The sequence below is a fragment of the Homo sapiens genome, chromosome 1 (genome assembly GCF_000001405.40).
Source record: "Homo sapiens chromosome 1, GRCh38.p14 Primary Assembly".
Taxonomy (NCBI): Eukaryota; Metazoa; Chordata; class Mammalia; order Primates; family Hominidae; genus Homo; species Homo sapiens.
In genome coordinates, this window is record NC_000001.11 from 226,636,491 (window position 1) to 226,655,342 (window position 18,852).

General features: G+C 56.2%; 1 protein-coding gene across 1 annotated transcript in view, besides 13 other annotated features; it reads right to left on the reverse strand.

The window, feature by feature from the left end:
- Nucleotides 1-18,852, reverse strand: part of ITPKB (inositol-trisphosphate 3-kinase B) — a 107,593-nt gene that overhangs the window by 4,801 nt on the left and 83,940 nt on the right. The window contains exons 3-7 of the mRNA NM_002221.4: nt 12,182-12,281; nt 10,677-10,890; nt 5,431-5,635; nt 3,067-3,168; nt 1,189-1,260 (exon numbers count right to left, since the gene is read on the reverse strand). Of these exons, the coding sequence (NP_002212.3) occupies nt 1,189-1,260; nt 3,067-3,168; nt 5,431-5,635; nt 10,677-10,890; nt 12,182-12,281 (693 nt within the window). The remainder of the gene's footprint in view (nt 1-1,188; nt 1,261-3,066; nt 3,169-5,430; nt 5,636-10,676; nt 10,891-12,181; nt 12,282-18,852) is intronic.
- Nucleotides 5,956-6,623: an enhancer, noted in NCBI's record as "H3K27ac-H3K4me1 hESC enhancer chr1:226830147-226830814 (GRCh37/hg19 assembly coordinates)". NCBI's record gives its function as "activates a minimal SCP1, AML or CMV promoter by ChIP-STARR-seq in primed H9 embryonic stem cells {active_cell/tissue: H9 hESC(primed)}" and the evidence as "EXISTENCE:reporter gene assay evidence [ECO:0000049][PMID:30033119]".
- Nucleotides 6,678-6,972: a silencer, noted in NCBI's record as "tiled region #1086; HepG2 Repressive non-DNase unmatched - State 22:ReprW". NCBI's record gives its function as "represses a minimal TATA promoter and a strong SV40 promoter by Sharpr-MPRA in HepG2 cells {active_cell/tissue: HepG2}" and the evidence as "EXISTENCE:reporter gene assay evidence [ECO:0000049][PMID:27701403]".
- Nucleotides 6,888-6,947: an enhancer, noted in NCBI's record as "active region_2655". NCBI's record gives its function as "activates an Ori minimal core promoter by ATAC-STARR-seq in GM12878 lymphoblastoid cells {active_cell/tissue: GM12878}" and the evidence as "EXISTENCE:reporter gene assay evidence [ECO:0000049][PMID:35858748]".
- Nucleotides 7,058-7,137: an enhancer, noted in NCBI's record as "active region_2656". NCBI's record gives its function as "activates an Ori minimal core promoter by ATAC-STARR-seq in GM12878 lymphoblastoid cells {active_cell/tissue: GM12878}" and the evidence as "EXISTENCE:reporter gene assay evidence [ECO:0000049][PMID:35858748]".
- Nucleotides 7,748-7,847: an enhancer, noted in NCBI's record as "active region_2657". NCBI's record gives its function as "activates an Ori minimal core promoter by ATAC-STARR-seq in GM12878 lymphoblastoid cells {active_cell/tissue: GM12878}" and the evidence as "EXISTENCE:reporter gene assay evidence [ECO:0000049][PMID:35858748]".
- Nucleotides 7,958-8,623: an enhancer, noted in NCBI's record as "H3K4me1 hESC enhancer chr1:226832149-226832814 (GRCh37/hg19 assembly coordinates)". NCBI's record gives its function as "activates a minimal SCP1, AML or CMV promoter by ChIP-STARR-seq in naive H9 embryonic stem cells {active_cell/tissue: H9 hESC(naive)}" and the evidence as "EXISTENCE:reporter gene assay evidence [ECO:0000049][PMID:30033119]".
- Nucleotides 7,976-8,198: a silencer, noted in NCBI's record as "fragment chr1:226832167-226832389 (GRCh37/hg19 assembly coordinates)". NCBI's record gives its function as "represses an EF-1alpha promoter that drives an FKBP-Casp9 reporter gene in an ReSE screen in K562 erythroleukemia cells {active_cell/tissue: K562}" and the evidence as "EXISTENCE:reporter gene assay evidence [ECO:0000049][PMID:32094911]".
- Nucleotides 9,969-10,169: a silencer, noted in NCBI's record as "peak735 fragment used in MPRA reporter construct". NCBI's record gives its function as "represses an SCP1 promoter by STARR-seq MPRAs in K562 erythroleukemia cells {active_cell/tissue: K562}" and the evidence as "EXISTENCE:reporter gene assay evidence [ECO:0000049][PMID:32103011]".
- Nucleotides 10,290-11,181: an enhancer, noted in NCBI's record as "H3K4me1 hESC enhancer chr1:226834481-226835372 (GRCh37/hg19 assembly coordinates)". NCBI's record gives its function as "activates a minimal SCP1, AML or CMV promoter by ChIP-STARR-seq in naive H9 embryonic stem cells {active_cell/tissue: H9 hESC(naive)}" and the evidence as "EXISTENCE:reporter gene assay evidence [ECO:0000049][PMID:30033119]".
- Nucleotides 13,358-13,652: a silencer, noted in NCBI's record as "tiled region #9391; K562 Repressive DNase unmatched - State 20:ReprD". NCBI's record gives its function as "represses a minimal TATA promoter and a strong SV40 promoter by Sharpr-MPRA in K562 cells {active_cell/tissue: K562}" and the evidence as "EXISTENCE:reporter gene assay evidence [ECO:0000049][PMID:27701403]".
- Nucleotides 13,448-13,537: an enhancer, noted in NCBI's record as "active region_2658". NCBI's record gives its function as "activates an Ori minimal core promoter by ATAC-STARR-seq in GM12878 lymphoblastoid cells {active_cell/tissue: GM12878}" and the evidence as "EXISTENCE:reporter gene assay evidence [ECO:0000049][PMID:35858748]".
- Nucleotides 17,098-17,287: an enhancer, noted in NCBI's record as "active region_2659". NCBI's record gives its function as "activates an Ori minimal core promoter by ATAC-STARR-seq in GM12878 lymphoblastoid cells {active_cell/tissue: GM12878}" and the evidence as "EXISTENCE:reporter gene assay evidence [ECO:0000049][PMID:35858748]".
- Nucleotides 17,283-17,874: an enhancer, noted in NCBI's record as "H3K27ac-H3K4me1 hESC enhancer chr1:226841474-226842065 (GRCh37/hg19 assembly coordinates)". NCBI's record gives its function as "activates a minimal SCP1, AML or CMV promoter by ChIP-STARR-seq in naive H9 embryonic stem cells {active_cell/tissue: H9 hESC(naive)}" and the evidence as "EXISTENCE:reporter gene assay evidence [ECO:0000049][PMID:30033119]".

Consider the following 18,852-nt stretch of genomic DNA (forward strand, 5'->3'; position numbering starts at 1 on the left):
GTTTGCAGAAAGATGCACCGCCCTGCTGGCTGCCTCAGGGCTGACCCTATGAGTTCCTCCTGCTGGCTCCGCAGCCTTCTCTGTGGGCATAGGCTGAGGCTGAGGCCACCTCCATGTAAGACCCCATACAAGAGGACCTCCACAAGAGAGTCCCTACGAGAGGGGCTGCTTTCCTGAACTACCTACACAGCTGCAGGGAGCCGCAGGATCCCGCTTCACACCCACCCACCCATGGGATTAGCCAGCCCCAGGACTGCAGCTCTGTGTGTGTGTGTGTGTGTGTGTGTGTGTGTGTGTGTGTGTGAGACTGGGAAAGGCATGCATGTTTGTGTATGAGTGGGTGTGCACACAAAAATGTGTGTGGATATATGAATACATGTGTGTGTTTGTATACGTATGACTTGTGTTAATGTGCTGTATGAATGTGTGTGCATGCATGTGATTGATCTGCATGTGTGTGAATGTGTGTGATTTGTGAATGTGTGTGCATGTAGGGTTTGAGTGTGATCTGTGAAGGTGTGTGCATGTAGGGTTTATGAGTGTGATCTGTGAATGTGTGTGGTATAGGATTGATGAGTGTGGGATCTGTGAATGTGTGTGTGAATGTGTCATGTGGCTGGGGACCTGGACTCCCCATGTCAGGGTCTCACACCCCTCCAGGGAACCTGCCGACACCTCCCAGAGCCTCTCTCAGGTGTCTCAGTTCCCCACCTGCTGCCTGCTGCCCCTGCCAACCAACGTATGCAAAGTTGGGAGATTCCAGCCCTGCCCGAGAGTGGCACCTGAAGACCTGCCTGCCCTCCTCAGGGTCTCATCTGAAGATGTAGGTGGCGGTCGGCGGGTGCCTGGCTACTCTAGCAGCTCAGAGAGCTTCTGCCCTGAGACCACGGGTGTGTGGGATATGAGTCCTGCCACCACTGCCCAGAATGGACAAGACTCTGGAGCTGGAAGGACAAGGGAGGAGAAAGGGGGCAATAGCCAGGGGTCTCAGGCAGGACAGCCCGTGTGGTCACCCCAGGAAGCATTGAGACGCAGCTCCCCCGTGCAGCGAGGGTCTGGTCCCTGATGGCCTGCCTCTGGCTGCACCACCCTGAAAATGCCCGATGCCCCGGGCTTCTGGAAGGAGAAGGAGAAGGCCTGTTGGCACGCGCAGCATTCTGCTCAAGAGGGCAAAAGCCCAGTATCTACCTCGTGGCACTTGAAGAAGGGAGAAACTTCTAGAGTGGTTCGAATGGCCTTCAGCCGGTCCCGATAGGCGATCTGGGAATAGAAAGAGGACCAGATTTTTAAGCGCCGCGTGGGGAAGGGCAGTGTCAGAACACCCATGCGGCCTCTAGTGGTCCCTCCCGTGAATGTGCTTTACCCTAAACGCCGGACATCTAGAGGCAGCTTCCTGCGAGCAGGGCTGCTGTGGCGTCTTTCTCAGCATAAATGTCAGTACCTTTGACTTTTGAAAGGACAGGGTAAGAGAGAGAACCACAAATATCTCTCCCAGTGCCCTCTCCATGGAGCCCTATAAACCCATGTCAAGCTTTGCTGGCCTTGGGGGGTGCCCCATCTTCCCCAGAAGCCAGCTCTGTGGGTCTCACCCCCGGGCTGCCTTGGGAAGCTCGTCATACACAGGTACACAGAGTTCCTCAATGCCTGCTGGAAAAGAGTGACAGCTGGCCGGGCCAGCCGAGCAGCCCCCTGGAGTCTTCAGCACCAGGAACAAACCCCAGGCATAGGAGGCATGTTCCATGGTGGCCACTGCTTAGGGGCTGAGATCCTCCCCTGCAAGGGACTCAGGAATTGGAGGACTTGGGCTACGAAAGAGTCAGGCACATTCCCCCTGCCTGCAGCCTCAGAGCTTGCCAGGAGCCAAGGGAAGCCTCCCCAGCTGGAAAAGGAAGATTTCCCAGTTCCAGCCGGTACTGAGTCTCCTTGGAGAAACGGCTGCCTGGTCCGCCCCCACTTGCTCTGCAGCTGCTGTGGACTGTTCAGAAGGTGCCATTCACAGGGGCTCCAGGGCCCGTGTCCCAGATGTGCCTGGATCTCTGACTGTCCCAGGGAGCCGTGCACTTGGGGCACAGTGGCACAATATTCCCTGACTCAGCTGGAAGGGTCAGTGCTCTGGTCCCTGTGGGCAGAGCATCTATCCAGTCTGCGAGCCGCTGCAGCAGCAACACACAAGACAGAACTTTGTCATGAACTTGTACAACCCACACTCCTGGACTCGGAGACAGCTCGCCAGCTCTTGCTGGCAGGGAGCAGCGTGACCTCGGGCACACAAGATGGGGACAAGCAGGTCTACCCACAGCAGGTCTGCTGTGAAGATTTGCTGCACGCTTGGCATGACACCTGGCAGACGGCGGGCACTGTTCTCTCTCTCAGGGCATGGGAAATGCTCTCTGGAGCTATGGGGCCGATGGCTAAGGGAGAGTCAGTGAGTGTCCGCCAAGCTTCCCCGCCTACCCGCCGCACGCCAGGGACAAGCACATCGCCTTCTTCTTTACTTTCCAAGCAGAAGCCTGGGGCCAGGATGGATACAAACCTTCCTGGGTACTAACTTCAGTGCCCTTGACTTTTTTTTTTTTTTTTTTCCCAGACAGAGTTTCATTCTTGTTGCCCAGGCTGAAGTGCAATGGCAAAATCTCAGCTCACTGCAACCTCCGCCTCCCAGGTTCAAGTGACTCTCCTGTCTCAGCATCCCAAGTAGCTGGAATTACAGGCATGCGCCACCATGTCCGGCTAATTTTTGTGTTTTTAGTAAAGATGGAGTTTCACCATGTTGGCCAGGCTGGTCTCAAACTTCTGACCTCAGGTGATCCACCTGCCCCAGCTTCCCAAAGTGCTGGGATTACAGGCGTGAGCCACTGTGCCCGGCGTGCCTTTGACTTTTGAAAGGGCAGAGTGAGAGAGCCACAAAAGTCTCTGCCAGTGGCCTCTCTACAGAGCCCTACGAACTCGGGCTGGGGTGTGCTGTCCCTGGGGGTGCCTTGTCCTCCCCATGGGCACCTCCAGAGTAGACACAGTTGTCCCTCCCTGGCTGGCTGGAGAGACCCTCTCTGGAGGTGCCAGACTCACCAGGATGTTATGGTTTCCTTTAGTGAACTCTCTGAAGGCCTCGGTGACCTGCTCCCTCGTTTTGGTCTTCTTGAAGTCCCGGTTCACGGTGCCGTCTTCTTTCTGAGAAAGAGAACACCCCACCCAGGAGGGGGTCAGCAGGGACCCTCGGGCAGAAACTGTTCTCACCCACCCAACACCACAGAGCAGGCGAGCCCCATCTGAACCTGGGGCAGGGCCAGTGGAGGCACCCAGGTGTCCACGTATGGCGCATGGAGGTGGCGTGCACAGCAGAGGGGAGCCTGCCCTGTGCCCAGACACAGGAGAACGCAGAGGGTGGCGCTGACATCCCCAGGCGAGTGAACAGTGGTAGGAAAGGCCCGGAGGTGTGAAGGGCATCCAGGCTGAGGATGGAGGAGCATGACCCGGGGCTGGCCTGTCCTGGGTGCAACAGCAGGGCCAAGAGAGAGGGTCGGCCTCGACTTCCCACTCTGGGGCCCGGGCCCTGGAACCGGTGCCCGGAGGTCCCTGCCCGCCAGAGGCACCTCCCCTCAGCACAGGGAGGAGAGACTTGCTCCCGCCCTGAGCTCAGCTTGACTTCCTTTATAATCTACCATCTCTTCTTTCACGTTTTCTGAAAGCCAGGATCCAATACAGCCCTGCCCATCTCTGCTCCCTCGCCCACCCCACTCCCATCTTCTTGGCCCCAGCACTATCTCTGTTCAGGCTGTCCTGGGCCCTCATGTGGGGCTTTGCTGACCTATGAGGAAATCTGTTCTTTAGGGACAAAGGGAATGCTCCACCAGGAGTCCCAACAGTGGGCCGTGTCTGCCCTCAGGCTGGAGAGTACTTCAGCTGTGTCCTCACTGTGGCTGCCTTCGACAGGACTGGCAGGACCTGGGGCTGAGGGAGCAGCCCTGGGTGCAGGAGGGGCCGAGAGCCGGGGGCTGTGGGCAGTGCACCCCAGGCAGAGCCTCTTAGCTAAGGGCGGGGCAGGCAGGTGATGGTGAAGACAGCTGGCTTCTCTCTGAGTGGGAAGACAGGCTGTCGGCTGTTCTGACGGCTGGACAATAGACAGAGACCAGGAGCACATCCTGCTCGAGAGGGAGAGGTGAAGGGAAAGTGGATTGTTTCTAATAAAGAAAGGAAAGCGAGCGTTAAGGAGAAGGCGGATGGGTACGGAATTTGCATCCAGTCTCAGAGCTGGATGCAAAAAAGAGGGAAGGGCTGGTTTCAAAAGACAAAGAAGGGGGCAAATGCCTTTCTCAGCCCAGAGCTCGCAAAGCAGCTGTCCCGGGGGAAGGTAAAAACTTCCCCACATGCCACCGTGGGCAGCGAGCCATTGACAGCTGCGGAAGCTACGTCTAAATGCCATCTGAAAGGAGGCTCAGGGGACCCTCCCATCAGGACCATCGGCTGCCCAACCCTGACTCCAGGCTGGACACTGGAGATGATGCAGACCATGACTGGACAGAGAATGGGAGACCCGACAACCCCACAGGGACTGCCATCTGCTCAAGAGGGACAGCTTCTGAGACCCTGAGGGGCCGGCGCCCCAAAGCCCGGCTCTTGCAAATTTAACAGCAAGGGTGCACACAGGGGCCCAGGGACAGGGAGATCATCCAGACAGTCACCAATCCAGACAGTGCCAGTTCCCCAATTTATTCTGGGGAAAGTAAATCAACATTTGAACATAATCATGTATAGGAAGCTTCTGTGTGCCCATAGCCAGAGCTAAGAACTTTCCTGCCAGATACACATAGGTACAAAGGGATAGAAGGGAAAGAGCCATCATTTTGTAAACCACAAACACAAAGTAAATATATTAATTAGGGGAAAATTACATTTACTTATAAAGTTTGTCATGTTGTTTCTTTGGAGCTTATGTTTCTATTTCTGTTCCAATAAATATTTTAAAATTTCCAAAAAAAGATCGAAGAGCAAAGCAGAGAGAATGCAGTTTCTCAGAGACCCTGGCTCCAACATCAAAGGCGGTCAGCATGCTCCTCCCTTCCCCGAATTGTCTGCCAGTCCCAGTTTGCAGCCATGGCAGAATGAACCAGCTACCCCACAGGCATCCCGCAGGTGCCTCTCGCCTGGCTTTCGGTGCCAGGCACCGTCTGGGCTAAATGGAGAGTCCTCGGCAGAGGGCTGACAGCTGGGCAGGGCTAGAAGCCACTCTGCTCTGAGGCCTGAGCCCCCTACACAGCCATCCCGCCTGAGGAATAGGCTGATGTCTCCAAATGTCTGGCCTTGGGGCGGGCCACCCACATTCTGAGCCTGTGCCTGGAGAAGCTTACAGCTTCCAAAGGGCGCTGAGAGAAGCCAAGCCCCCTGAGGTGGGCACGGGTGGGGCCCGAGGCTGCCCTCACTCGCCGGCCTCACCTTGATTCCCTCGATCCTGAACCCCAGGGTGGCCGTGGAGCTGATGGTCTCCCGCCACTGCATGTACCGTGGCTTGGTCACAGCCCGCTGTGCTTTTTCCTCCTCGGTGGGGGCCTCGGGGTCCACCTCGATCATCTTCTGGTACATGTCCTTCCGCAGGCTGGGCTTCTTCCGGGCCTTCGTGAGCTCCTCCTCCAGGTAGGTCCTACGTGGGAGGGAAGGCGACATGAGGGCCGAGGCCTGGGGCAGGGCTCACCAGCAGCTCCTTTCCTGCCTGGTGGATGAAGGTTTGGGGCGTGTGTTGCCCAACAGCTGCAGTCAGCTCAGTGCCCTGAGTCAAGGCACGTCTTTCCGAGGGGACGGCAGACTCTGTTCCAGCTGGGGCTGGCTCTAATTTTTCTTTTCTTTTTTTTTTAGACAATTTTTTTAGTAGATAAGGGAGTCTCGCTATGTTGCCCCGGCTGGTCTCAAACTTCTAGCCTCAAGTGATCCTCCCACCTTGGCCTCCCAAAGTGCTGGGATTACAGGTGTGCACCACCACCCAGCCTGGGGTTGGCTCTTGATCCAGGAGAAAAGGTGCAGCCTCACTGAATCGGACTGCCTTCACTTTCACTCCAAGCCCATCGGCTGGCCTCACAAAGCCCAAGGAGCTCCTCCTCGGGAGACCCCCACAGGAACCAGCAGAAGAAGGAAGACGGAGGCAGGGCAGCAGGGGGTGTCGGGGGTGGCTGGTCCTGATCCTGCTGCTACGGTGGAGCTAAGAGAGGGGACTGGGGGCAGGGTCTACTCAGGGCCCCACTAGATCCCCTTGGCTGCCTCGGCCCTTCCATAAAGCGAGGGCTTCCAAAGCCAGAACCTGTCCTGGTGGGAGAAGTGGTCTGTCCTCAAGTCCCCATCTCTGCTGCTCTCAGGCAGCCTGAAGGCTGAGCCTGCCCATAAGTGTCTCTGGCTCTTTCCAAAGAGGTGAAATCTTCTGGAGCACAAAGTTCAGGTCAGAAAGTGGCCTTGGAAGGGGTCCCAGTGTGGATGGAGAAGGCCGTATTGTGGGGGAAAGGCAGGGGGCTCCCTCAGCCTCTGCTCATCCCAGAGACATGCCTGGTGCACCCCACCCCATCGACACCAGGCCTCCTCATAGGTGAGCCCCCAGTCCAAAAAGCCTGAGAAAATGCTTCCAACTCAACTGCCTCACGGCCCTGGCCTCCACACGAGCAGCTCCAGCTGAACTGGCGGGGACCACCTAGACACTGGGGAAGGTAACAGGGGCAGGGACAGCAGAGCACTTGAGCAGCCGGGGGCTGAATCGCTGGCCCTGAGCTGCCGGGACACGCCACCTCCCCCAGCACACAGCTCTGCGCTTCTACCTTCTCCAGAGCAGAGGTGGGGTGAGTCATCCCACCCCCGCTCCTCTGCTCTCCTTTTAGAGCCCCAGTCTCCCTACACAACAGGCTCAGAGGCTGCCCACAGCCCTTGAGGAGGCAGAAATCAGCAGTGTCAGTTGCAGGATGGGGAAGTTTTCTCCCCTTTGCCCTGTGTGGGCGGGAGCTGCCCACAGAGGCCCCGCCCGCCTGCCCTCCACCTGGCCCTCCACTCTTCCTGCATCTGTCTCCCAGGCCTTGTTCCAACACTGCCCACCAACTTCTCCAAGTTGCTGGTTTGGGACCCAGAACAGACTAAACAAAAACTACAGCCTCTTAAAAATGACAGGCTTTAGAAACCACTGTATTAATTGAAATTTGCACGGAAAGAAAAGGGAAGAAAAAAACAAATCCTTTGGGTGTGAACTTAGGCCTGGCTGGTTAGGACCTTCCAGGAGGTGATGAGGGCTGGAGGGGGAAGTCAGTAGCTTTGGGTTGGGCCCTTGCATGCACACACAACCATGTGCGCACATACACACACATGTGCTCATGCACACACATGCACATAAACGCGGACTCCTGTGCACCACTGCACACACACAGGTGCACCCATGCAGGACACGCACAGAGCACACCCCTCACATGCAGAGCCAGGTCAGTGGTGACGGGGGCATTGAGGCAGGGGCTGCGTGTGCATCCATGTGTGTACTGTGTAGAAAAGGGGCAGCCAGGCTGTGGGAGGGACTCCTGAGGGCGCTGTAGGGGACCGCATGGTGGGTGGCTGCACTTCTGCAAAGAGCTCTCAGCACCCCCTTAAACAGGAAGCAGACCTCAATGTGAAATCCCTTTTCACATGGCCTTTCTCCAAAAAGGGCCCCCGTGGCTCAAAGCGGGCAGTCACTCACTGCCCAGGAGAGGAAAGAGGCTGGGGGGAGATGTCCACAGGGGGTGCCAGCTGGATGGTGGGGCGGGATGCCCACAGGAAGGTGAGGCTCAGCCCCTCCCCACACTCCCCTGCCTGCCCGAGACAAAGTCGAAGCTCCAAGCCATGCAGGGAAGCAGAGACCTGCTCGCCCACTCACAGGACGCTGGGGGAGGAGGGGACTCAAGATCAGGTGGAGGAAGTGCTCCTTTGAGACAGGCCAGCCCAGGGAGCCAACAGGTGGCAGGCGAAAGCCACCCAGAGCTCCTAGGTGCTAGGGGCGGGCTCTCACCTGCACTCCCCAGGCCCCTGGTCCCAATGTCAGGAAGACAGTGTTGACTCTCCAGGACAAGTCACAAATCTCAGAGCATGCCCCAGAGCCACTGAGCACATGTCGGCGGGAGCCAGAGTCCCAAGAAGCCCCGACGTGCAGACGCCACCAGCAACTGCATCACATTCTCCTTAGTGCCACCCTTCTGCCCCCGCCATGCCCAGCATTGTTTGGTGACCGGCCCTTCCCTTTCTCTGTGACATGTCTCAAACTCTCTTGCCCTGGGACTCAGCATGTGAGGTAACCCTGGGCTCCAGCCTCCTCACCCTGTCATGGAAAGGCCACATTCTAGAGGTGACCATGAGCAGCCAGTCTTGGGAGAGGCCCTGCAGCCAAGGGTTCTGGATGAACGCATTTGGGGGAAGGCACAGTCCATGGCCCAAATGGAACTAGCCTGGCACCCCAGGGAAATGCCATGGAAGCTGGGTCCCACACAGCCCCCTTGGGAAGGGCTGGGCTGCAGCTGGGGGCCTGATTTGCAGTCAAGCAAGCCTGGTGCAGAACTGCACCAAGCTGCTGCCTGGCTGGGTGGCCCTGATGAGTCACTGAACCTCCTGGTGACAGAACCCTCCTGCTTACACTGGAACATGACCCATCTCCCAGAATGGCGGTGAGAACGCAATGGGATAAATAATGGAAGCATCTAGCATAGCCCTTGGAACAAGAAGGGTCCTTAGGATTTGTGTGCAGGAAAGATCGGGCTGGGTGCACCCTGCTTCTGGGGAGACCTTCCTCTTCCCCTCCACACATACTCCTCTCTCATCCTCTTCCCTCTGCCTGCCAAGATGGGTTACATGGGTACCAGCCACGGTCACTCTAGATCTCTCTTGAGAGCACTAGGGTGCAATCAGAGAGAAGCTGCGGAAGTCAAGCGGCTGGGTGGGGGCAGCCCTGGGGCAGGAAGCGGGGCTCCTGTCCCCAGCAGGAGCAGGCAGGTTCTGGGGCAGCCTGGCCCTGTGCTTGGCTGGCTGTGTCTTTGGGACAGCCGACTTCCAGAAATGCCCAGCCAGTGTTCTTCACACAGGCCGTACTTTTTTGGCCAGGTCTGAGTGGACACCACTTGGATTATTCTCCATGTGGTCACCTGCGAAGTCCTGCTGCTGTCTGGGTTGGAAGGAAGGGCTGGGCCTCCCCTGAGAGGACACATTCTGGTGCACCAGTGGATGCCATCCTGGGTCAGAAATCAGACTCGGGAAAAGCAAAGGCCTCGGGCTGGCTGGGGGCATGTTCTTTCTCCTCCCTGCCCTATCCCAGGTCCCTGTGGGCTAAAGATAGTAAGGAACTTGGATGGTGGGAGGGAGGTGGCCAGGGATGGCTCAAGAGCAAACAGTGGGGCCTGTGCTTCTCCATCCCCCATTCTTTCCCTGTGAGTGATGGCGAGAGAACACAACAGTCAGTGGCAGGGTGTGATTTTAGGACAGAACTCCCAGGAGGAGAGAGAAGAAAGGAAAGAAGGAAAGAAATGCTGGCTGGCTTAGCTCTCTTCTCTCCTGGCCTCTGTCTCTGTCTCTCTCTCTCTCACACACACACCCCTCTTTCTCAATCTGCTCTTATGAGAAATAATCCGGTTAAACCAGTCACAGTGGACACAGCCTTCTGCTCTGAGCTCTGAGTCTCCGTGCCTGGCCTCCCAGACAGCCCTGCAAGGAAGCATGGGGGGGCTTGGCATCTGGCCGTCCAGCCCGGGTGCTGCAGTGAGGGCCAGCCCCACAACATGAGCACCGCACGCTGGACACCATGGGGGCCGACAGCCTTAGGGAGGTTCACCAAGCCTGCACAGGGGAGAAGGAGCCGTGCTGTGGATGACTCAGGGTGGAAGGGCAGCAGTTTGAGAGGTAATGAGAAAACCCGGCTGCCTAAAACTGAGCCCCGAGATCACAGCAGCCGGCCTCAGGCATCCCTGTCTGCTCTCTGCCCTGCCTCCTCAAGCCCCCTCTTCCTCTCTCCTCTTCCCTGGAGTCCTCTCCAGGCTTATCCCCTGGGCAGGTGTCAGGGTGAGCCTGAGCCCCTGTCAGGAACCTGGGGGTGGGAGCCAGTCCTGCACACAGGCCCAGTGACTGCTCCGGGCTCACCTGGGGCCCTGCGGTGACCTGCCATGTGGGTTTCTTGAGTTCCGTCAGGGGCTTCCTCCTCCTTTTAGGCAGATACAGGTCTTTTTTGGGAAACCAGCATGTTCTACTAGCCACTCTCTCTTCCCACTCACCAGGGCTGGGGAAATGGAAAGACCTCGATTCCCATCTCCCCTGCAGCTCACACAGCAGGAAGTCACCATCCTGCGACCTCCCTACCTGGTGGCTCCCCGCACCCCCAGCGATCCCACCTGAACCAAGGGCAGCTCTCTCTTCCTTCTCTCTAGGGGGCCTCAGAACCCAGCCGGTGCCCTTTTTCTGGTTCCGCCAGCCCCTGGCTTCTGCTCACTGGAGAAGGAAAGGGGCCATCATGGGCAAAGCCCAGGTCCCGGAACCCTCTGCAAATAATGGGAGATGCCTGGGGATGGGGAGGCTCTAATTGGTCCAACAGCCTCCTCAGCCTGCCCTTGCACCTGTGAGGCCTCCGGGAAGCCCTGAGTGCCACGCTGTGCACCTGCCATGTGGCTTGCACTGAGGCAGGCATGTGGGCTGCGAGAAGCCTGGCTCACCTGATTCCCATCTTGCAGTCCATCACACAGGGCGAGTCGAAGTCGGCCAGCAGGTCGTCCATCTGGTTGTAGCGCTCCCCGTCCTTCACCACATCCCCATGGTAGGCAGGTACGAAGGGCCTCAGCACATCCACCATCAGCCGGTCCAGGCAGCGCTGCTCTGACTCACAGTGCTTCTTCAGGATCCTGCCATTGGCAGCTGCCTTGAAACTCCCTGGAGAGCAAGTGTAGAAGGTTCCTGGTCTCCGGCTGCAGGTAGCTGGCAGAGGCACCCTCCCCAGCACAGGGTCTGGGCCTCCCTGGGGATGGCTAAGCCTGGGGCTGAAGGTGTGTCTATGTCCCTGCTATGGACTGAGCACCTTAAGGGGAGTGGGTTCAAGACCTAGTCCCCACTCACTAACTGTAATTCTGAGCTGGTTCCCCAGCTTCCTTGACTCCAGACTCCTCCTCACCAGTGTTCCCTGCTGGAAGGGTACAGAGCTAGGTGAGAGACTGAGGTGCCACGACCCAGTCATTCCTTAGTGTTGCTATTTTCATCCTCACCTCCATCATCAGCCCTGCTTCTCGGCAACGAAGGTGTCTCCTGGCCTCAGTAGAGAAACCCTGATTGGACAGGATTCAGAGCCAAGGTGGGGAGATACAGCAGGCTGAGAAGCTGGGGGGCCTAAGGCTCAGCCCACCTGGGTGGCACTTCTTCTGAGCCAGACCAAGTAAGTATTCACACAGGCTGTCCATCCATGTGCCTTGAGTTGGGCCAGTGTGGCCAACGAGGTAAGCGAAATGCGGGACCTTGTGCTGGCCTGAGGAGGCTGGTGAAGTCACGAAGGCCAAGTCCACAGGCAGCCCCTGACATGTCTCCAGATGACAGTGCTTCCAGAGGGTCCTACATGTGGGCTAGATGGCTCTGGGGCCTCGGCTCCAGATGTCCCTTCTCCCCGGCACTGCCTGGACTCAGCTCCTAGCCACCTTCCTCCCAACACCGCACACCGCCCTGCAGTTATGGGGTGGCTTGGCCGCATCTTCCACCAGCTGCAGGCTCCCTCAGGGCAGAAACTACATCTCCATTAATGCCGCAACCCCCAGGACCATGGCAATTTAGGCACACAGTAGGTGCTCAATGAAGGGGTTAGCTTTGCCTCTTTGTCCAGGGTGACAAATGGCAGGTAAGCTATAAAGACTGATGGCTTCATCTGTCTTATTGAATACAACGGGAAGAGAGACAGAAAGAAAGAGACTGGAAGAGACAGAGATAAGAGCCAGAGACCGAGGGAGGGGAGGATGCATGTTTTGGAGGATGGGGTAACACAGACTCCAGAGAGGTCCGTTGTCTATGGCATTTACAAGGCATTGGTAAGGCCGCAGCCTGCAAGTGTGGCTGTGATTTCAGACTAGAAAGTCTTGGAGGGAACTTGCTCTGGAGCTTTGATCCCCAGAATGCAGCGTCCAGGGCACCTCCCCAGAGGGCTGAGCACCATGCTGGGAAAGTCTGGGAGAGCTGTGTCTACCTGCGTGTCCTGCCAGCTGGATCCAGGGGTACTTCTTCTTGAAGGACATGACGAAGGGAGACCAGTGCACCATGTTTTTTATCTTCCTCCATGATTTGCTCTAGAAACAAACAAACAAAAAGCTCTACATTAGAAAGACAACCACTAATTTCTGGTTAGGACAAATTCAAAGCAAAGGCCCTCATTGCCTGTGGCCACAAGATGGGAAGGGCCCTTGACGGGCTCTGAGGACCTTGCCACCACCATCACCTATGCGGCACATGGTGGGAGGTGGCTTTACCCCATTTAACAAACAGCCTGAGCAAAATGCTCAGGGGAACTCCCCTGTCCCAAGAGCAACGACCCCTCCAAGGAAGGCTGGAGAGGACACAACCACCCAGCCGCACCACATTAGTTCATATTCAATTCGTAGATGCGGAGGCACCAGAGGCACCTCTTGCCTGCGAGTGGTTTGAAGAGAGACTTTAAAGAAATTCCTCAGAACAGAACCTGCACCGATGGCTTCAGGTCACACAGGAGGGAGCAAGCCCACAGCTCTCTCCTCTGCACCGCGCTCCGCCCTCTCAGGATGTTTCTTCAGTGAAAACAGCCAGGACTGGGAGTGTGCATGTGTGTGTGCGTGTGTGTGCATGTGTGTGTGCATATGTGTGCATGAGTGTGTGCGTATGTGTGCATATGTGATATATGTGCATGTGTGCATGTGATTGTGTGCATGTGTGCATGAGTGTGTGTGCATGTGTGATATGTGCATGAGTGTGTGCGTATGTGTGCGTGTGTGTGCATGTGTGATATGTGCATGTATGTGCATATGTGTGCATCAGTGTGTGCATGCGTGATATGTGCATGTGTGTGATGTGTGCATGTGTGTGCATGCGTGTGTGATATGCACATATGTGTGCATGAGTGTGTGCGTGTGCATGTGTGTGCGTGCATGTGTGTTTGGGGAGAGCAGGCCCTTTGGGCAGAAAGGAGAACTAAGGTATATTGAGCATCTTATTTTATTTTCTCAATGAGCATGCAAGTCAATTCTTTTCTATTTCCATCTGGTGGAGCCTGAGCCTCAGAGAGGTAAATGACGAAGCTGGGATTTAAACATTCATTTATACAACTACTTGAAAATAAATAAAATTAATAAAATTCTTTTCTTCCCCAGCAAAAACAAACAAAACAAAACAAAAAAACAAAAAAAAAACATATTTTTAGAAAAAATATCCTTAAGTGAACTTTAATAAGAACAGGCTGCAGAGATGAAGATCAAGTGTCCCCAAAATACACCCGTCCTCAGGGGGGCGATGAGAACCTGAATGAGAAGCATTGTGAGTTCCTGAGAAAGTGGATCCTGGACCAGCTAAACCACGGAGAGCAGAAGCCATGTGGCTTGCAGAGGAGATGAGGGTGGTACTGCCTGACAGGGGGACACACTGAAGATGTGGTTCCCACTCCTTGCCCCGAAGCGCCCAGCTGCAGCCCTCAGGGGTCAGCGGCGGCTGCTGGGTCCCCAAGGTGAAGTCAAGGTGAAATCGGCCTCCTTTGTTTTTTCTCTCTTTGCTGAGACTCAGCCGCTTCTGTCATCAGGTTTTCAAGTTAAAATCTATTTAAGGAGAGGAATTCTTCCTTACTAAACCTGGTAATTCTTATCCCCATCCCAGAAACTCTCACCCCACCGCCAAGACCAATTCTATTCTTAAGAGAGGGCAGCGCCCCATGAGGCCATGTGACAAAAGGGCCGAGGCTTTACTGACAAGGATGTTTTTCCTAGATCCTTCTGATGGAGATCGCCAAAGAAGGCTAGAGCCAGCGGAGGCATTTCTTATCTAAGCACCCAGAAGGCTGCATAAACAATCAGGGCACACAATGCATGAGGGCAACAATGGAAAAACCTCATTACACAAGATGAGCCCAGCAGTGGCTCGTGGGGACGCCCCTGCTCAGGGGGAAGCCATTACGGTGGGTCCAGGGGGAGAGTGCACAGCCGGTCACCACCCGTGGGTCACATCCCTGCAGCAGAGCTCAGAGAGGACAGGGGCTGACAGGCTTCAGGGGTGGTGTGGGAGGAGGGGAGCCCAGAGTGTCTCAATCCAGGGCTCGCCCTAACCCATGCCATGTCCCTATCAGGGGAGAACACACATTGCACTGTTTCACAGTCCCTCCTGGGGCCTCAGTTTCCTGTGTCCGGTGAGGGACAGACAGCTGGTATACCAGGCTCCTTGGATGGATGGACACTCTAGGGCCCTGGAAAGTGACCTTCCCTCATCCCAACAGCAATGGCCCCTCCGAGGAAGACTAGAGAGGGCTACTCTCCCAGCTGCAGCGTGCCAGTTTATATTTTATGTATACAGGAGGAGGCAAATGAGCATGCATGGAGGAAGGGTCCCAGGACCCTAGAAGGCAGCTCACTGTGGAGAAGGAGGGAGCTTACGGAGGCTGCACCCACCAGAGACAGCTGGGGGCCAGACTCAGTGGAGAGAAAGAGAAGACTACAGCTGGCAGCGGGAGTGTGGGGACAAAGGCCCGGGGACTGGAACTGGGAGTGGTTGGGAACCAGACCTGCTATGGGCATGGGGGCTGCAGACAGAGGGAGATAGGTGAGCAGGCGAGGCCTCGGGAGAGCGTGGGGCGTTGAGGCAGGCCAACCTGGGCCCGAGTCCCGGCTCCCCTTTTCCTCCTCAATGACTGACCTTGAACAAGTTCTTAGTCCTTGTTTGTAAAAAGAGCGACACATAGATTCCCATTCTCCCAGGAGATAAAGCTGTCAGGAGATGTGGGTACCAGGGTGTCTGTGGGAGGGTCTTTAGCCCTCTGTGTTCAAGGAGGGGACCCAGGTGTCTCTGAAGTTACTTCAAGAATGGTCAGTCCTGTGCTAGGTGGAGTTGCTGGCCTAGGTTCTGAACAATAAAGACCTCGGAGCCTGGGGCAGGGTCATGCCCATCCTGTTGGGGTGCAGCTCTCCAGAGACCCACAAGACACAGTGAGCAGGGAGCCTGTGACCCAGGAAGGTGAACAGATGCTGGGCGAGACAGTGTGGCTTAGCCTCTGCAAGGCCATTTGAAGCTAAGAAACTTCCAGTTCTTGGACCTCTCCCAGAGGCTAAAGACCAGGGGTCTAGAAAGGAGGGGGTGCTCCAGGGTGGGGGTCTTCTGACAGTTCAAAGGATCCACAAGCCTCTCACATCGCTGAGCTCTGACCAAACCAGGCACCTTTACCGCTTGGCTCCCCTCTGCCCACACCTCCTCCATTTCTTCACCATGAAAATAGGTCCCACGTGGCCAAGGCCCTGAGAGTCCCCCAGTCCCAAGGCTGCTCTGCCTGGATGAGGGCCGTGGAATATTCCACTTGTGAGAATGCCATGCACTTGCACTGGAGACCTCTTTTCTCTCTGCCAGCAGCAGCACACAGGGTTTCCCCATGGTTTTTAAATAGCAGCACCCAGGCAGTGCCTAATGTCACTGCCAAGCAGTAAACAGAAAAAGCCATTTCCAGGTCCAGGCTGGGGGAAGGAGGGAAGGAGGGCTGCAGGGTGACCCCAACCACTCCAGCCTAGCCCCTAGGAGCAGAGATGAACTAAAGGATGGGAGGAGATTCCAGAGAATCAATGTCCTTGTGATGGTCGGGGAGACCACAGCATCTGCCTCAGGAACCAAATCCACTCCAGGCACACGCCGCTTTCCAGGAGCGGACAGGCTAACAGCCCTCCCTCCAAGCACTGGCTGGAGGAAGCCCCAGTCCTCAGAAATGGACTCCAGGCCTCATCCCCCAGATAAGACAGGTAACAAGGCAAGAAAGGAGGACAACCCAGAAGAATCCCACCCAGAGGGGTTTATCCCGTGCCCCTCCAGCCCTCCCTTGTGGGAGATATTCAAGAGTGAGCTCTCCACAGCAGCCTCTGTCTCTTCTCTGTCTGAAATCAGACCCCGTCCCAGGTCTCCAGCCTCTCAAGCCCAGCTCTAGGAAATACAAAAGTGGCCTTCAAATGCCTTGAACGTGGTGTGGCAAAGGGTACCTGGTCCCCTGCCCAGGGCAGAGCTGGCCACCTGCTCCTGCATCACCTCCCAGTCATCAGGGGAATCGAGACATCCCTTGTGGACACCTCCCGGAGTGCTCCCAAAGCTCCCTATGTGTGGCAGGTCCCTGCTGGCCTCCTGGGGCTGTGAGCCTCTCTTTGGCAGACCTGGGGCAGGTGGCCAGCTCTGCTGTGACCCTTACTTCCTCACACACAGATGTGGGGTCGGCCTAGCCAGTGGATGTGCTGGGTTTCTTCCTAAGCTGGCTGAGTAGTACTGTGCAGGGGGACTTGCTGCTGGCCGGCATTGCTTTTGTCATCTCTCGGGGAGATAGGAGGGCCCATTTCTGCAGGCGTGCACCAGTACCATGGCACGGTGTGTACACTCATACCTGTTACCACTTATGGGGCTCTCGCTATGTGACAGGCCCGGGTTAGAGAATTATGGCCTTGTTCCTATGTTCTAGTTAGGAGTGTTTTCTCCATTTTACAGATGAAAGAGTCTGAGGCTCAGCAAGTTACTTCTCCAAAGTCATCCCATTCTATGCCCTGCCAGTAGGTACCATGCACATGGGGAGCCTCTAGCCAGTTCACCCACTTCCGTGCCTATCAACGAGTGAGGGCCCACCTCCGAGTGCCCCTTCCAGTCTCGAGACAGCAGGATGAGGGGACAAGAGGCAGAAGACTGGGCAGGAAGGACAAGAGCAAGATTCCTCCAGGGCGGTTCCCCTGGACAGCCAGGGTGCCAGCCCAGTGAAGTTTTCTGGCTGCTCCGTTAGCAGAGGAGCCCAGGGCCCCTGGTGCCCCTAAAGCTGGCCACCGAAACCCCAGATACATCCCTCCCTGGGGCTGCTCAGGTGCCACTTCCGGTGCAGCTGTCAGATGACACAAGGTTTAAGCTCTCCCATGTGTCAGATCAGAGCAGCCAGACACTTCTAGACTCCGGATGGAGTTCTGCACTTGTGATGTTCTTGAGGACACTTCGGTGGAAAGGAAAGCACCACAACGCAGGGGTGCCCCTGGGTAGGTAAAGGGCAGTGGAGTGGGCTGGAGACACACGGCTTTTACTTTGATTCTGGGCAGGGTGGTTAAACCAACTGAAGACCAGGCATGAGGTCTTTCAGGTAACCCCCGGCCTCACAGGCTTGGATGCGAACCAGCTGGGGAACTCCCTAGGTGGCTGCACTCCTGGTTACAAGAGCACTGGTCTGAGCTTTGCTTAGCTGCTCCTCTGCAGGCAGGGTGGGCAGTGCCTGCTGCTGACATTTGTCACCCCTGCCTGTTGCAACCTGGACCCTGCTCTGTAAGAGAGTCTCGTGCTGAACTCCAGAAGCGCAGGGAAAGATGGAGCTTCAATTCACTCAGAGAAATGTGGAAAGAAAGGATCAGAAAACAGCCGGACCAGGGTGAGGGAGGGGTGGTGGTGGTGGGGAGGGGAGTGATTCTTTGAAACTCAAGAGAGGCCTGGAGACCTCTGGTGTGGTTTTGTCCCCTGGCACCCGACTTGAAAGAGCTAAAATATTCAGAGAATGTGGAGAGAGATTTGTAGTGGGAGGGAAAAAATCTGACAACAAAACCCCAACCATCTTTGCATTGGAGGAGACAGGAAGTCAGAGGCGAAGGGAGCTTGAGGAGCCGGCAGACAGCAGCCACATTCCCCTGCAACAGAGAGAAGCCTGCCCCAGCTCCCGATTCTGCTCCCCACGTCACCTGGGAGTAGGAAGCCCTCGCCTTGGGGAAGCTCAGGGCATGCCACATTTTGTCTCCCTTTTCCTCTTCCCCTTTTCCCAGAAGTTCCTGGTCTGAAGAGCAGATGGGAATCTACTCCCTGGGGGCCAAGGCCTACACAGAATGATCTCCTCCTGCTCAACACACAGAGCCATAAAACAGACCCAGGGTTCTGTGGCAGGTGGGTGTGGAGCCTTCCTGGGCAAGCAGTTACTCCTCCCCACCTCCAGCCCATCCTTGGAGCTGCCCCGAGCCAGTGGGGCTGCCTGGGGAGGGTCTGATTCTGTGTGTTTTTCTGGATCAAGTCCCAACCCTCCCGTGATGCTAACGGTTCCTGGGTGACGCCATCCTCCCCGGGTCCTTCCCATCAGGCATCCTCAGTCATGCTGTACGGAAACACTGCCTTCAACAAATCAGAGGGCAAACGGGCATAACCTCCAGGTCTAGCCTTTGTCGTTCATAAGGCAGGCAAAAAAGGACTGCTGGGGACAGGGGAAGAGGAGGAAGGAGGAAGAGGAAGAAGAGGAGAAGAGTGAAGAGGGGGAGGAGGAAGAGGAGGGAGGAGGGAGGAAGAAGAGGAGAGAGAAGGGAGAGCAGGAGGAGGGTACGAAGAGGAAAGAGGAGGAGGAAGAGGACAGGGAAGAGGAGAGAAGAAGGAAGAAGAGGAGGTGGGGAGGAGGGGAGGAGGAAGAGGAGGGCAGGAGGAAGAAGAGGGAGGAAGGAGGGGAAGGAGAGACCCAGGTTTACCCTACTCTAGGCTGTGGGGATGTGTGGGCCTCTGGCCACCCCACTTACAAAATGCTTTAGCTATCATCAGGATCATCTACATAACATGCAAAATGAAAATGAGGGGTCCCTTGTCCAAAATTCAGTAAGAATGTCATGATGGGGAAAGCAGAACTTCACCAAGCTCGGGGCCCTTCTCATGCCCTGTGACTGCTCA